This window comes from Homo sapiens, chromosome 1, assembly GCF_000001405.40.
Source record: "Homo sapiens chromosome 1, GRCh38.p14 Primary Assembly".
In the NCBI taxonomy this organism is placed as follows: Eukaryota; Metazoa; Chordata; class Mammalia; order Primates; family Hominidae; genus Homo; species Homo sapiens.
Genome location: NC_000001.11, coordinates 65403275 through 65419922, shown reverse-complemented (window position 1 = coordinate 65419922; position 16648 = coordinate 65403275). Strand labels below are relative to the sequence as shown.

At 39.1% G+C, this 16648-nt stretch overlaps 1 protein-coding gene and 1 pseudogene across 3 annotated transcripts in view, besides 1 other annotated feature; both read right to left on the bottom strand.

Annotated features, from left to right (window-relative positions):
* Positions 3921–4107, bottom strand: RNU2-15P (RNA, U2 small nuclear 15, pseudogene; annotated as a pseudogene).
* Positions 4052–16648, bottom strand: part of DNAJC6 (DnaJ heat shock protein family (Hsp40) member C6) — a 151123-nt gene continuing 138526 nt past the window's right edge. For all 3 annotated transcript variants that reach the window (NM_001256865.2, NM_014787.4, NM_001256864.2), the window contains 4 exons: positions 13790–14053; positions 11140–11282; positions 8497–8673; positions 4052–6999 (listed from right to left, as the gene is read on the bottom strand). In NM_001256865.2, the coding sequence (NP_001243794.1) occupies positions 6898–6999; positions 8497–8673; positions 11140–11282; positions 13790–14053 (686 nt within the window). In that variant the 3' untranslated portion in view covers positions 4052–6897. The remainder of the gene's footprint in view (positions 7000–8496; positions 8674–11139; positions 11283–13789; positions 14054–16648) is intronic.
* Positions 7083–7377: an enhancer, noted in NCBI's record as "tiled region #12103; K562 Activating DNase matched - State 5:Enh". NCBI's record gives its function as "activates a minimal TATA promoter and a strong SV40 promoter by Sharpr-MPRA in K562 cells {active_cell/tissue: K562}" and the evidence as "EXISTENCE:reporter gene assay evidence [ECO:0000049][PMID:27701403]".

The following is a 16648-nucleotide window of genomic DNA, read 5'->3' as shown; positions in this document are numbered from 1 at the left end:
GGGGAGAGGCAGGAGAGGGAAGGAGGGGAAAAGTTGCAATCGATGGGAGAGGGACACCGACTCACTAACCAGTGTTATGTTCCCTGAGCTCCCAAGTGCGTGCTAGTGTGCGAGTGTGTGCCTGTCTGCCTTCACATGACTGTGGCAGAGGAGAGGCGGGGTACCAGAGGACAGGCCCCTTAGGAAACACTCCTCATTAAGAACTTGATATTTGCATAGGTTTGCTTTGCTTAATAGCAACGCTTTACTGAAACTAGCGGGGTTTTTCTTTACTCCCTGGTTTATTTATAGAGACGAAGACCATATAAGCTTTTGTGTCCGAAGCTTTCATGAACCTTAAAAAAAAAAATAAAAAAAAAAAGCTATTATTTTTGTGCCTTGGGGCCTCAAAGTTTGCAGGTAACCAAGGCCAGTTTTTAGATCTCTGAGAGCCATTGTGTACTTATCTTACAGGAATGGAGAGTTCTGTTTTGGCAAAAGCAATCTAGAAGATCATTGAAACAGTCTGGTCCAAATGCTTCAACTTACATTTAAGGAAAGAGGTGCAGAAAGGATAGGACTTGCCTGTCACACAGCTCTTTGGAGGAGGTTGGATTCTGGGCCACTTCCCCTCATTCTAGCTGAGATCCACTCTACCTGATGGTGCCGTCCCTCTTCTCTTGCTTTTTCTCCGTTTTCAAAAGGACTGAAAGACAAAGGAATCTGTGGAAACCTAGCTTCCCCTGGCTACCTGAGAAGTATAAATTCTCACCACCATCATGTTTCATGATCCTTGCTCAGTTTACTTTTTCAAAATTGCACATTGAGCATGTTACTGTTTCAAGAAATGTCTATTTGTTGATTCAGTGGAGTATTTTTCTAGCTGTCAGTTTATTTTTCTAGCTCCTCTCATTTCTCCTCATAGACGGATGGCACACTCACTGAAAACAGCATTGTAATACCTGACTCACTGCTGATGCTTGGAGATCCAATACTACAGTACAGCACTTTTTACTTTGGAGCCTTCAATCTACTCAAGAGCATTGGCAGTGTATGCCACTTTGGTTTAAGGATTATTTTGAGCTGAAGGCAATTAGGAAGAAGCAAATAGGTACACGGTACTAGAAAAGCACTCTGCCCTCCCTCTATTTGCCAAAAAGCAGGATATAAGTTTACGAAGGTGTACCTCCTTCCTGCTCTACCAGGAAAGACAAAGATTAATCACCAGAGACAATTTTAGACCCCTGTCAGCCTGGAGACAACACAAGAAAAATCTACATGATAAACCTTAGTATTTGGCCTTCATCTGCAACTAGTCTCCCATATATTTGTTTTCCGACAATTTGCTGCCCCTAGAGACTCAAGATCCTTTATCTTGTCATTTCTTTAAAAATTTATTGTTCCTTGGCTAATATGCTGTATAAACCCAAGTTCTAACCAAATCTTTGAGTTGCTTATCTCTGAGTATTCCCATGTTACCTATATGAACAACGCACGTGTTGATAAACTTGCTTTACTTTTGTTCATCTGTCTTTGGCCAGTCTAATGCACAAGGACCCAGCCGGAGAACCTAAGATAGGTAGAGAAAAAGATTCTTCCTCCCCTACAAGAGCTTGTTTCCCTATCATATTATTTCTAATACCTATTAGAGCACTCAAGGGAACCTGCGTATCAGACAAGCCCTGGAAGTCTGTGGTTTTTAGCTTTCTTCGTGTAGTGCTAAGCTACTCTCATGGGGAAGATATTCTATGGGGTTAAATTTCCCTCATTCCCCCTTCCATTTCCAACCACCCATTCTGTCTCCAGAGAGCCTAAATAGGGTTTGCGGGAGCCTTCCACATCAGCCTGACTCCAGTCCCACAGAAGATAAGTGATTTTAGAGAAAACTGACAACACATCAGAAGCAGAGTTTGGTTTGAGCACCCTAGGCTCAGGAGTAAGATATTGGAAGGTGGTATGAAAGAAAAAGTTGAGGTGTTTGCCCCAGGGTAATGTCTGGAATTTAAAAAATGCTGGGACAGTGTTTGTCTTGAACAAGTTTTCTGCCCACGCCAGCTGTCCTTTCCAGGTTACCAATCACCTTAAAGAGAAAGTTAGCTATTTTGCCATAGGCTTTAACCATCTGAAAAAAATCTGCTTTTCTTTTGCCTGATGTTGCACTGAAAAAAACTGTTCTTCTACTTACTCCTTCCACATTTTCTCAAAAATAAGAGTCATCAAAAACAGAAAGTAAAACCCTAAAAACCAAATCCTTATCCCCAACTTGCCATTGATATGTTACTTGTAAGATCTGTGACCTCTGTCATGCTGCCTAGGACTACAGTGGACTTACTGGGATGAATTTTAATATTCTCTCCTTGCATTCAATAGTCTCGCATGATAAGCTAGGTTTTATTGCCTCTATCTTACAGATAGGAAAACAAGCTCCCAGTAACCAGTGAATAGGGAAGCTGAGATCAAGTCCCAAACTGTTCAGCTCTAAAGTCAGATGGTCAGCACTTGTACTATTCCCCACAGTAGATCTTATGCACCAAGAAGCAAGAATTCTTGTAGTAATTAGAAATAACAGTAACCTCTTATGCTTCACAGGGCATCAAATCCATTCACTGTCTTAATTTTCTCCAGCATATCTATTAGCATCTTGCATACAGTATACACAAAATGTTGGCTGAATTAACAAATATTAATAAGTTTACCATACACAGTATCATCTCTCCCTATCCTCAGAAAAAAAAAAATATATAGCCTCAAGCTCCAGCTCTGGGTAAATTTCTCCATGCTTTAGCTTCCTGAGGTAAGATTTACAAAAACCTGTCTCAGAATCTTTGGGGGAATTAAGTGAGAAAAAAATATATATAAAACATATATATATATATATGGTAACACCTAGGGCAGTGCACACAAGATAAATGCCAGGATGTTATATCTACACTGGGGTAGGCTTGCAAGTCAGTGCATAAGTTAAATGCAAGAATGATGCAACACTAATTGAAATCCGTAAATGTTGGTTTTCCTTCCTAATGCTCAATCACTACTTCTTTTTACATAGCTATTCCCTTTACAGAAACTACAATGCAAACCTCTTTGCCATTTTATGTAGACAGATCTCTGTAAACCCAAGGAGATAAGGAATAAGGACCAAGGTAAAAGTAACTTTGGGTTGCCTTTTCCTACTTGTGTCACTCCCTAGAATATGAGGTTTCCATGTAATTCCAGCTCCAATACCCACCTACAGTGATATACTTTGTCTTATTTACTATCAGTAACAATAACAATAATTACTATTTAGTGAGTACCCGCTTGTTAAGAGTTTATATACACAGTTCTTAATTCCTCCATTGCAGGGTTGTTAGAATTCTATTTTACAGGTGATAAAATTAAGACTCAGTTCAAGAAACTTGTCCAATATAAGAGTCTGTAAGGCTTGGCACAGTGGCTCATGCCTGTAATCCCAGCACTTTGGGAGGCTGAGGCTGGAGGATCACTTGAGGCCAGGAGTTCAAGACCATCCTGGGCAACACAGCAAGACCCCGTCTGAAAAAAAAAAAAAAAACCAGGCATGGTGGCTCTCACCTGCAGTCCTAGCTACTCAAGAGGGCTGAGGAGAGAGGATCACTTGAGCTCAGGAGTTAGGGGTTGCAGAGAGCTGTGACAGACCCACTGCATTTCAGCCTAGGTGACAGAGCAAGACTCTCTTAAAAAAAAAAAAAAGTCTATAAATGGAAAAACTAGGATTTAAACCCAGTCTTTTAATCTCAAACCAACATGTATCACTATTCCCAAAAACCATGATTTATCTTTAGAATAATCAAAATCTGCTACTTGAGCCAGCTTCCCTGATAGGTGTTTCCAGCAGGGAGACTGACTTGTTGCTGCAATAACTATTTCTGGAATTCAAATTTTGTCTTTTGTTGTTGTTGTTGTTGTTTTAGTGAGGCGGAGGTGAACTATTCCTGCAGTTACTGCATTACCAGGCTGATGTGTGGAATGGGTGGGGGAAACTCCTATTCCATCTCCCTGCTCCACAAAATCCATTTAAAATATTGTACATGGATAGAAGACATATCAGATGTTAAACTGATAAAATTAGATGCTACATTTATTTTAGCCAAAAGGCCAAAAAGCAATTGGAATTCAACTTTTTTGCTCATTCCCTACACAGACTGTGTTTCATTCACGGCATTAGGATTCAACTTGAACATTCTTCCACATGTAGATAGTACAGTGACAGGTCAAATGCTTTTGAATTACAGCATTTGTTTCCAAAGAACTAAAATATCTGAGACTTTGTTTCTATGATAAAGTCCCAGACTTCCAGGTTCAATCCTTTTGCCTCAACATACAGATTCGTTTTTTTGAAAATCCTTTGATTTTTTTGGCTAGGAGACCAGGATTTCTATGCTAATTCTTTTTGAAACATATATCATGTAGCATAATCAAAATCATGTGTGCGTGCATGTGTGTGTGTGTGTGTGTGTGTGTGTGTGTGTGTGTTGGGGCAGGAGTGATTACGTATAAATCCAGAAATCCTGTCAGATTACATTTTGGTGCATGCTTTTTGTATTCTCTCCTCATAACTTTCCTTAAAAGTAAATCATGTCAGAAGGTGGCATTCAAGCTCCTCATTGTATTCCTACAAGTACCCAAATAACTTAGATTTATACAAATATTTTTGAACCTTTTAATATACATTACAAATATTTTAGACCAATCACATTTTGTTGTAACATATTTACAAAACAAAAAATATATTACAATAAATATGATGAAACAGTGAATCTGATCAACAACAAGCTTTGTCACAACCAGTTATTTAAAAGGAATGCAAAGACCTGTTGGTCTGCATATATTAAGAGTTTTGAGATAAATAGGGGTCCAGAATTATAATGTATCCGGAAAAGAGATGTGGGGGAAAATCTCCAAATTTAAGTAAGATTCTTTCTCATTGTAATTACATAATGTTTAATGATGTTTTAAACTGTGAACATTGATGAATTATCCAAACATGATACAAAGCTAATGTAGTTCTATCATTTCAAAATACGTGACATCCACAGAATATCCTTTTAATTGTTATCATTATATACTGTAGTTCACACAATATCTACAAATGTGAATGAGAAAGAAAAACAGGTCACAGCAACATGTCTCACATTCCAATTTTAAATAAGACAAGCACATACTGGATCAAACATTATTTTATAATACGTTAATAAATAACACCTAGTTTGTTATGGTTACCTTGAACAGTTTATGACTGTATATTTAAAAAGAGAACATTTTCTTCGAGTTTCACATTGTCAGTAAAAGGTAAAATAAATAATGAACTTTAACAAACAAACAAACAAAACAAAAGAGAGAAAGAGATCTATGTAGAACCTAAAGTATTTTTGACATGCCGCTTTTCCGGTATAGCTTGCCACAAGAAAGTTAAAACAAAAACAAAAAATGATTGTCTTTTCAAAACAACTTTTAAAAGCTTTTCACAATATTGAGCATGAACCTTTGAAGATTAGCATGAAAATCTTTTTGCCCATCTGCTTTGTGGATATATTTAATATATATGTATAATGCACATTGTATATGTGCACACAAAAGAGATCTACTAAAGTCACAGAATAGCAAACTGCTTACCCCTTAAAATGAGAACCAGCCAACACACTGATCTGAATCCAGCCAGTCTGAGATCGGGAAAGCATTCATTCTTGCTTTGCTTTCACAAATGTCCCTGTATGAATGTCGTTCCTGTGGATCCCCAACCACTTTTAAAACAAAAAAGCCCACTGTAATAATTTAATGGGTCTAGATTTGCCTTGTGGGGAGGTGGGACCTGGTTCCTCAGAGCAGATACTGACAAGCCATCTGACTGGGTCTGCAGGTGAGTGCAGCTCTCTCACTGTGATCGTGCCATTCCCTTAACTCCTATTCAGTGTTGCCTTCCATTCTCTTACCACAACTGCTCACAAACCTAGAGAACACTGAGTCCACACTAGATATTGGTCCTGATAAGTTGTGAACAGGCCAAACTACTTTACCACCTGTTTCCAACTAAGAATGTTTTCTTGGCTAAACAAAAGAAGAGCATTAAGCCTTACAGCAAAATTAGATGTTTCATTTAAACCAGGTTTAGAGTTGTTATAGTAGTAAGACTTTTTATTTAATTAATCACAGTTTTCTAAAGGGAAAGAAGGGTAGCGGCCCACCTTCCTAACCAGGAATAAAGATTTCGACATCTTCAGAGTCCCTATTTTCTTTAGCCACCATTTTCATTCATTTTTAGCTTAGTCAGAAAGTTGGTGGTAATCACTGGACTGTAGTTTAATCACTGGACTATTATCACTCCCCACATTTCAAGTTCCTTTATATTTGTTAGTTCTCTTGACCAAAAGACATTTACAGTATTATGCTAAAGGCCTTAGTAAATTTTTACTTAAAAAAAAATACCTGGTGGTTTTGTTCTTGGAGTCTGCATAAAGCCACTGCTCAAATTATATCTTTCCAAGAAAAATCTAGAAACCATTAAACCATCATATAACTCTATTATCATAACTTTTGCTCATTAATCCTATTCTCAGACAATGTGATGGGTGTTATGCCTTCATGGGTGGTGGCCTCTGTTTTCCATTTCCCCAGGTAGAATGCTGAGTAGGCTCCCCAAAGGGCAGGGTGGAATGCGGTGGTTCTGCAAGGTCATCTGACTAGAAGTTCCTCTCATGCTTTGGATCTTTTATGGTGGGAACTTTGGAGAAACCAAACATCCACATTCCTTATCAATGAGAAATTAATTCATGAGTAACTTAACGGTTTAGTACTGAAAACATGTTACTGGAGTTTTTGGTTCATCTGCGAAAACCTCAGAATTGTGACACACACTAAGCATTAGCACAGGTCTGCAGCAGAGATGGAAAAGCTCATAAATTAATATAAGGGCTTTTGGCCTTGGTTTTCAAATTCAGACCAGGCATCATTGAGCTCCATGAAAATCATCTTTGCGTATTGTTCATAGGGTTGCCCAGTAGCCTGTAGAGAAAACAAAAACACACATTAGATACCACAGACCAAAATTTCATTAATATTAAATTTTTCACTGCCAATATATGGGCTCTAAGCAATGGAAATGTTTTTCTATTTGGCCATTTCTCCTTTTCAGCCTAATCTACTATATCTGACCCAAATTACTATAACCTCCCCATAATGACCTCCCCCTAGAAATGCACAAGGGTAGTAGTAATCCATCAAGAAGTAGACAACAGAGAGCTTATCAGGCAGCACAAGACGTATCTCTGTTCTCCAGACGTATCTGCCAAATGACAAAGGTTCATGACAGCCCATCTCTATTGACTGTTTTTAACTCCCATTTTCCCATTTCTAAAAAGTTCTTTGAGAGTCATAATGGGGAATACAGTTTGTGGATTTTTCTGGGCTCTTGTTTCTCCTTCTCTTTTGATTCATCAAAATTCAAGCACTACCATTGCTTCTCATTAATTCTTCTTTTCAGACTAGTACAAAAAAATGTGGAGAGATGAAAATCATATGCATCAAATTCAAGCCTGTGTTCCCAAGTGGCACTTCGATCATAGCTTCATGTCATATGACTGGTATAGTCTATGTGACAGCAAGATGACTCACTTCTTGCTGAATGTTTCTATGTATTATATGATGATTTCATTTGTCCATGAGTTACTTGAAGTTTCTGACAAGGTAGAGCCCTTAGATGTATATATACTTCAATGAAAACATAAACTGACATAATCAATGTAGTAATAATCAAGAGAGGGCAAATTTAATTCCATTCTGAATATTTTATTGATTCTCACAAATTTTACCAACTACATTCTGAAGCTTTTTCATTACCATCCTAGCTAACTATACTGCTGTATCTCTAAAGGAAAGGAGTTTTCTTCTGTCCAGCTCTTAGCCTGTCCTTACTATTGTAAGCCAGGACACAATTTACTTTTTCTTTTCTTTTTTTGGAGACAGGGTCTCACTCTGTTGCCCAGGCTGGAGTACAGTGGAGCGATCTCAGCTCACTGCAGCCTTGATCACCCAGGCTCAAGTGATCCTCCTACCTCAACCTCCCGAGTGGCTAAGACTACAGGCTTATGCCACCACACCAGCTAATTTTTTTATTTTTTTTGTAGGGACGGGGTTTTGTCATGTTGCCCAGGCTGGTCTCAAACTTGAGGGCTCGAGCGATTCGCCTACCCTGCCCCCCCCAAAGTGCTGGGATTACAGGCATGAGCCACCGTACTCAGACACAATTTACTTCTGAGCCCTAAAAATTAATCACTGGGTAAATCTTACTCTCTCTAAATAAGCCCCTGTAATATATAGTTTGATATCGTCTTTCTCATTTCATAAAGTATAACTATTTGTTTAAATATCTGATTTTAGCTCATTGACTTAATTTTATTAAAAATAGGCCATATGAACCAGCACATTTAAAGTAAAACACATACTCATAAGATAATGAAGCAAGGACCTGACAAGTTACACAACAGGGCAGGTTATACCCACTTTATCTGGGTGCACCACCAGGACAGCCTTCCTGTACACCTTCTTCACCTGCTCTGGTGTTACCAGGTCTGCCATGCCAACTGGTTTCCACTTGGTCTCCCCAGCCCATAGTACGGTATGCATCGTGGAAAGAAGGGCTCTGATATTTCTTTCTTTGCCTTCAATCCATTCCAGAATCTGTAAACACAAAGGGGATTAAGAAATTCAAATGCTTACTTACTAGTTCAGAAGGTTTCCACTAGGACTCTAGAAACCCCTTCTGCTCCAGCAACATCAAAACACTTAGGGCAACCTGTATGATCCAGGCTGTTTCCTCTACCTGGAATGCTTCTCCTCCTCAATCTCCTACCTTGTCTCCCTGGTTAACTCTATCATCTTTCAAAAGGGTGCTGAGAAATTTCACACTGTTAGACTTTGCGAGTTTGAATTCCTTTCTCTCCCATCCCCACCCCCAGAGTTATACTCAATATAAACTCCATGAGGGTAGATACTGCACTAAATAAGTAAACCTTAAAAAAGGGCCAAACTTCTCTGGGCCACTCTACCTTAAACATATTTCTACCATAATATGTACCACACTTTATTGTAATTGTGTGTTTCTCTTTGCCTGCCATTAGGCAGAGCTGTTTGAGGAAAAGTATTATTTCTTATATATCACTGTATCTCGGAACCAAATAAGTAACCTGGTGCAGAACAGAGCTCAAAAAGGCTTGTTACGTGAATTGACCCATTTAGCCATTTATTTGAACTATGAACATTCACAGTTTGAACAAATGAGGTGATTAAGTCAGAGGGATCATAAAACTGTATCAGCATTGAGTACCTAACAGGAGTTCAGCTAAGTGAGTGTTGCTGGATGAATGGTTTAGTCACATTAATGACAGCTACCCTCCCAAACAATTACATACCCTGTACCAATTAAATAATCAAACATGGTTTAAATGAAATAAACAGCTTTCTTTTATAGGAAACTGTCCGAATTTGCCTAATGAACAACGGTTATTGAGATGAAGCACAAAGTTTTTGGAAGAAATATTAAGCTTCTGTGACATTGGGTGGAGTGAAAAACATGCAAATGAAAGACCCTACATTGTACTAAAAAATGTATCAAAGAATCTAAGTTATATTAGATGTATATTATATACATCTGCAACAAATCTGTCAGGAAATTATACAGAACGGTGGTATATGTTTTCAGAATGTGTTAAGATTGACTTGCTGTTTAAGTACTGGTTTTGCAGATGCTTTAATACAGAGACAGATTACATCCTCCTCTTTCAGTTTGTTGTAGTATCAGCATATTTAGTATTTTGTCACATAGGAACTCAACCTCTCCATCTGTGAAGAGCATTCCAATTCTCTTGATCTTTACAAACTCTTCCAGACCTCATACCACTCATCAACAGAACCACCCTCTGTTTCCCAGCTAATCCGCATCCGCCTGTCCATACAACATCTTCATCTATGAAGTTATGTGGTTTTTTTTCAGCTGTGAAACAAAGGGGTTAGATTCGCTGAATTGCAAACTTAAAAAAACAAAATGCTGAAACATGCTAAAACAGTATGTTGATTTGAGGAAAAAAGTATGTTGATTTGATTTGAGGAAAAACCTCAAATCTAATTTTACCTAAACCTCCAGAATCAGAAAGAGAGAAAAGTGGAACTGCTTTGGTTAAAAGTAGAGGGAGACAATGGGGAAGACAGGAGCCACACTTCCCTCAGCCTTTCTCTCCTCTACTTTCCAAAGCTCCAGGTCTAATGTTGCAGGAATTGGTAAGTCTCAGGTACATAAATATTTCTCTATCGGTAGAGAAAAGATCCTGGGGGCTTCAGTCAATCTGGTTTAATAAAAAAGCTCTCAAAGCAGAAAGAGAAAACATAAATAATGCATTCTTCTTACCAGCAAATTCTAATGACTCATCTTTAGAATGTGAATGCCATCTGAATAACAAAATCACCTCTTAGAAAGTGCCACTGCTCATTTGAACAGGCAAACAAAAGAAATCTATATTGCCATATCATGGAATAACATTTATTTTATTAAAGAAAGTAAACAGTGTGTGCAACCTCCTCAGAGCTACTTTGCTATTAAAGGGCACAGCTGTACTCAAATCACAGCTGCAAAGACCAAATGAAATAGAGTGGCCACCAGAAATCTACTATCATGCCTTTTATAGGTGATATGGTCTGAATGTATGTGTCCCCCCAAAATTGCTATGTTGAAATTCTAACTCCAGAGGTGATGGTATTAGGAGGTTAGGGCTTCCTATTGGGAGGTGATTAGTTCATGAGACAGACCTCTTATAAATGGGATTAGTGTCCTTATGAAAGAGGCCTGAGCAAGACCTCTTTCTTCTGCCTATGAGGACACAGGGAAAAGACCACCATCCATGAACCAGGAAGATGGCCCTCACCAGACACCAAAATGGCTGGCACCTTGATCTTGGACTTCCCAGCCTTCATTAACTATGAGAAAAAAAAAATCCTGTTGTTTATAAGCCACCTAGTTTATGGTATTTTGTTATAGCAGCCTGAATGGGCTAAGACAATAGGTTACTCTCATGGCGATAGCTCCATACACATGACTTTATCACATGACTTTGTCATATAGGATAATCAAGCTGCGTCAGGGGCCTCACTCACCTTTAATTTCTCAGGATCCATTTCCTTGGCCATTTCCTCCTTTCTCATCTCAGCTATTGTCCGAGGCCCCTTTTTGTCTTTGTGAGCATTGAAACCTTGACCAGAGAGTAGGTCTTCAAAATCAGCTGCTTTTTGTTTCCCTTCTGCAATATAATTTTTGAAAATCATTACAGTTTTCATTCTTAAACATAATGCTGTATCATTATCTCACAGCATCTGGAGTCTTCAAGGTGTTTTTAATATGCATTCAGTCCTTAACCCTCATGCTTGCTTACCCTGTGAGTAGGGTAAGAGACTGTTGCATCCATTCTACAGATGAAGAAAATGAACCTGTCCAGAATCATATATGTGGCAAGGTTAAAACTGGAGGCTGGATCATGAAGCCAAATCCAATTCCATTTCCACTGTACCTTCTCTTTAGATGAGGATACTCATTATCCCTCCAGATTATAACTAACTCATATCAGTGTTGGCACTGGGATCTCGGTTTGGTACTTGAAATTCATGCATGCTACCACTTCTCTGCCCATATTCTGTTGATATTTTAGTCAATCACTTTGCTCTTTCTCTCCAAGTCTGGTTGTAGCCTCTTAATCTTTCTCAATTTGTTTGGAGAGGCAGCCGAGCATGGTGGCTAGGAACAAAGACTTTGGACCCCAACTCCCTGGGTTTGCATTCCAGCTCTGCCACTTATTAGTGATGTAATCTAGGCAAGTTACTTATTATCTCTACTCCTCAACTTCCTCATCCATAAAATGGGGATGGTGTTAGGAATATTACTCACCTTATGGACTTGTTTTGAAAATGAATTAGTTAACATTTAAAATGCTTAGAACAGTGCCTGGCTATCTAAATGCTTGTTAAAACAAAATAGAACCAAAACATAACAGTCCATACAGTCGATTCAAATCAACCAAAATCAGTTTTTGAGTTGAAAACCATTTGCTATCTCTATACTGTAAGACATACACATACCTGTTTTTGCACACACTGAAATGTAAGTGCTCTGAAACTAGGGATTTTGTTTCTTGTTCCCTGCTGCATCCTCAATGTTTTCTACACTGAAGATGCTCCATAAGTATTTGCTGATTGAAGTCACTCGCCCCACATCTATCTACTCAAAAATGGAGGGGAATTGGCATGACTCTATGGAATTGTCCAGGAAATATCCCTGCTAGTCAAGAACAAACATGATGTTACATATCCCCGACAACTGAATTCCTAACATGCTGGTGTTGTGAGCACCTGTGTTCTAGCCAGTAGAGGGTAGCAATGAAGGGCAGGGGTTCTGGAGCCAGATTGCCAGGGTTCGAATCCTGGCTCTGTCGCTTATAAGCTGTATAAACTTAGGAAATTACTTCATCGATCTGTGTCACAGCTTCCTATGATATGCGGTTGGTTTTGAAGATTATAAGAAATAATACAGGAGTCCCTCCACTTATTCACAGGCGGTATGTTCCAAGACCCCCAGTGGACACCTAAAACTGCAGATAGTACCAGACCCTATATATACAGTACTCTTTTTTTTGATCTGATAACCGAGATGGCTACTAAGTAAGTAATGGGTGGGTAGAGAATACAACATAGATGTGCTAGACAGAGGGATGCTTCACATCCTAGGCAGGATGGAGTAAGACAGTGCGAGGTTTCATCACGCTACTCATAATAGTGCACAATTTGAAATGTATGAATTGCTTATTCCTGGAATTTTCCATTTAATATTTTCAGACTGCAGTTGACCTCAGGTAACTGAAACTGCAAATAAAACCACAAATAAAGGGGGATGCCTGTACATGAAAAATGCTTAGGATAGCACCTGCCATACAGTAAGGACTCAATAAATGTTAGCTACAGCTATTAGGAAGAGCATAAGAATTGCCTTTCCATGTTCCATAGAGAGAAAGGCCTCTTCCCTCACCATGTTCCTATGTACTTCATTGGAGGGTCTGACAAAATCAGCTGAAATATAAAATGTACCAAAATAGGCTTTTAATAAACTCAAATCTAACCATCCTTCCTATGCAAAAATATTACTTTTCATTCATTGTCAAGATCCTATCCAGAGTATCCTCCAGCCTCAGGTGTTGGCACCATCATAGGTACCCCGCTGATCTCAGGAATCCACCAAGCAGAGCATAAGAAAGACCAAGTTTTCCAAGACACATGCAGTCCACCAACTGGGACCAAAGGGCAAATATGACCAATGTGCTTGAAAGATTCCCCAACTTTTTCTTCCACTTCCTCTTCCAAAGGAATAACAGCTTTAAGATCCATCTACCTCTCCACTCATATCCCTTCAACATTCATTTAGTGCCTACCCTATGCCAAGCACTATGCTAGGTGCTAATGATACCATGGCAACTAAGACACAGTCCCTGCCCTCCATCTGGTTCCAGTCTGGAGATAAACAGCCAAGTGAGCCCACGGTCACAAAATGGTATAAAAGTTAGGAGCATAGTCAACCTAGGAGCCTCCAGGTACAGCGTTGGGGGTAGGAATCATGTTTTATCTCTACAACTATAAGATTCCCTCAGAAACTACTGAATTGAAACTACCCAGAAAATACTGTCACCTTCAGAGAGACACATTCAGGCAGTATGACAACATAGACAGGCTGCCCCATAGCTAGGTCCCATACCATTATCCTTACCCAAATTACTTGATCCTTTCCCACGTTCGTTCTGGCCCCCAGGCATGGCTGAGAAGCTCACGTTGTAGTTGGGTCGGTTCTGGGGAGAGGAGTGGGGCATGCTGGGCTGAGGCTTAGGCTGTGGCTGCTGCCAGTTGTAGGCACCTCCCTGCTGCCACCCGCCACCCATAGGCTGGGGAGACGCCTTCTGTGGCGAGCTGAGAGGCGGGAATCCTCCACCCAATCCAGTTGGTGTGGTGGGTTTGCTGGCAAAGGAAGAACTACCTAAAGAAAAAAAGAGATAAAGAAGGTAAAACTATTTTGAGTGGCCTCTAACTCTTGTGTCTTAAGACACTGTTTGCAGTGGCTTTAATAGTCATTCCCTTGACTGACAGCATAAGTAATCTTCCTAATATAGATAAAGCAATTGCAGGCATACATATTATTTCCTTCATCCCCACAATAACATTTCTAGGTATGTTTTAATGGCCTCATTTTTCCTTCAGATGAACAAACTGCAGGTCAGAGCAGTTAAGTGATTTTTCTCAGAGGCACACAGCAAGTAGCTGAGCCGAGACTTGATTCTGGATCTTTGCCTCCAGGTCAAAAGAACCCTGGCTCTTCCCACTGTGCCATCCTTCCCCACCCTTCCATCTTCTGAGCAGATTCTGTTTCTTCACTAGAATAAAATTTAAAAAAAACCACCAAATGACAAGAATGGGGAATAAAACAGTCCACTCATTAAGGTGCTACTTAAACTTCAATTATTAGGATTCATCATTTTTTGTTATAAAGCATGGTTAGTGCCCAAGAGTAAATAAAGATGTTTTGAAATTTCACAAGTAGGTTTTAACTTCATACTACTTGCATTTCACTGAAGGAGAGCAAAAACAGTCAACATTCTGATAACTTTAAACAGGACAAAGGATCTTATTCAAGCTTTGAAAATGATGTTATTTTGTGCCAGGAATTTAAGTAGAATCTTGATTCCATAATCTCCAAACTTTTAAGCACTCATTGCATACAAGCTGGGCTATGTCCAAAATATGAAAACCAGCTGTGGCTTGCATTTAAAGAGGTAAAATGAGAAAACTGAAATGTGCTGATGTCCAAAGACCCTTTCATGTAATAAGTCTAAAGTAACAATAATAAAATAACTAATATTTATATAGCTCTTTAGAGTTAACAAAATGTGTTTATGTACATTACTGCTCAGATCTACACAACACTCTTAGGAAGTAAGTAGTATCACTGGCTCCACTTTAAAAATAAGGAAATTAAGGCTCAGAGAGGTTTCCTGATATACTCATGATCACACAGCCAATTAATGGAGCTGGGATTAGACTATGTGCATCCTACCTCCAAATGTCATGTTCATTTACTGCACTCAGTAATCCTTAATTCCTCTCCTAATTGCTAAGCCTTTCACTACAACTCATCCCTTACTATCTCTTCTTTCTATAGATACTTTCCCTATTCTGATCCTGGGGCTCCACTTTCCTTCCCTGCTGGAAATGCATCATGATCACTGGACTTACCATCAATCTGAGTTTGAGTCTCAGCTCTGTCATTCATTCTTGCATTCGTTCTTCATTCATTCATACATATATACACTAATTCACCACTATTTGATGAGCATTACCAAGTGTCATGTACTATGCTGGGCACTAAGAATATAGCTGAAAACAGGATATAGAGAATCTTTGCTCTTCTAAAGCTGGGTAAAAAAAACTCACTCCTTTGAGCCTGAGTTTCTTCATCTGTTTAATCAAAACTATGTCTATATCACAGGTATACTGTAAAGACACAACAACTATAGGAAAGTATTACACAATTAAGCAAACAAAGAGACGTTATATATTATAAAATAATGTAAGCTCATATGCTAATAAGCACATGCCTGGTACATCTTCAGGGCTCAATAAACACTTGGTGATAGGAAAATGTAATGACAGGGCTTGTCTTCAAGCTTGGCATTGCCCCACTCATTCCATAACTAGCAGCATGAATTCCTTCTTCCTATGTCCCAGAGCCCTCCTGCCAATAGCACGGGAACATACACCTAAAACTTGGTATTCATTCTACACTGGGGTTTCATTTTATATTTAAGGAAGCTTACTCTGTTCTGAACATATGTGTTTTTTTTATTTTAAAATTTGGTAAATACAGAAAAGCCTAAAGAACTAAGAAAACCTTGCCATATGCCTACCACACTGCCAGTTATTCATTAATTTAGGAAACACTACTGAGCATCCTCTAGATGCCAGGCTGCAGATACAGTGGTGAAAAAGCAGACGCTGACCCCGCACTCATGGGGCTCATCAACATTGCAGGACTCTCTGATGTCTACCCTTCTAGAATATTTTCTCCCCATGCTCAGCAAGTCTAATTGTTAATGCTATTGAAGCAGAGAACTTACAGAAATACAAAGTGGTAGCTAAATCCAGAGACCACTGCAGTCCTCATTAAAAGCAAAGCAGTAGTTCTCAACCTTGATTGTGCATTAGAATTACCTGGGGAGCTTTTTAAAAAATGCTCCATCTTGTGTAGCCCCTACAGTAGCGGATATTTTACATTTGATTAAAGTTTCTTCCTCCCACTGTAGTGCAAGTTTCAAAGAACAGGAATATCATCAGCTTTGATTCTTTATTACATCCTGAATGCCTACCACATAATAAGTACTCAAAAATACCTGTGAAATGAGGGAATTAATGCTCAAGGGTAGAAAACCATTGACTGGATGAACTGAACTGATACCCCTTCCCACACTCAGCTACATCAACCTCTAAACCTTTTATGAGTGCAAGCTCCAGAGCTAGACTTCTTGGTGTTGAAAGCTTGTGATTTGTGCATGTTACTTAACCTGTTGTGTCCCTGTTT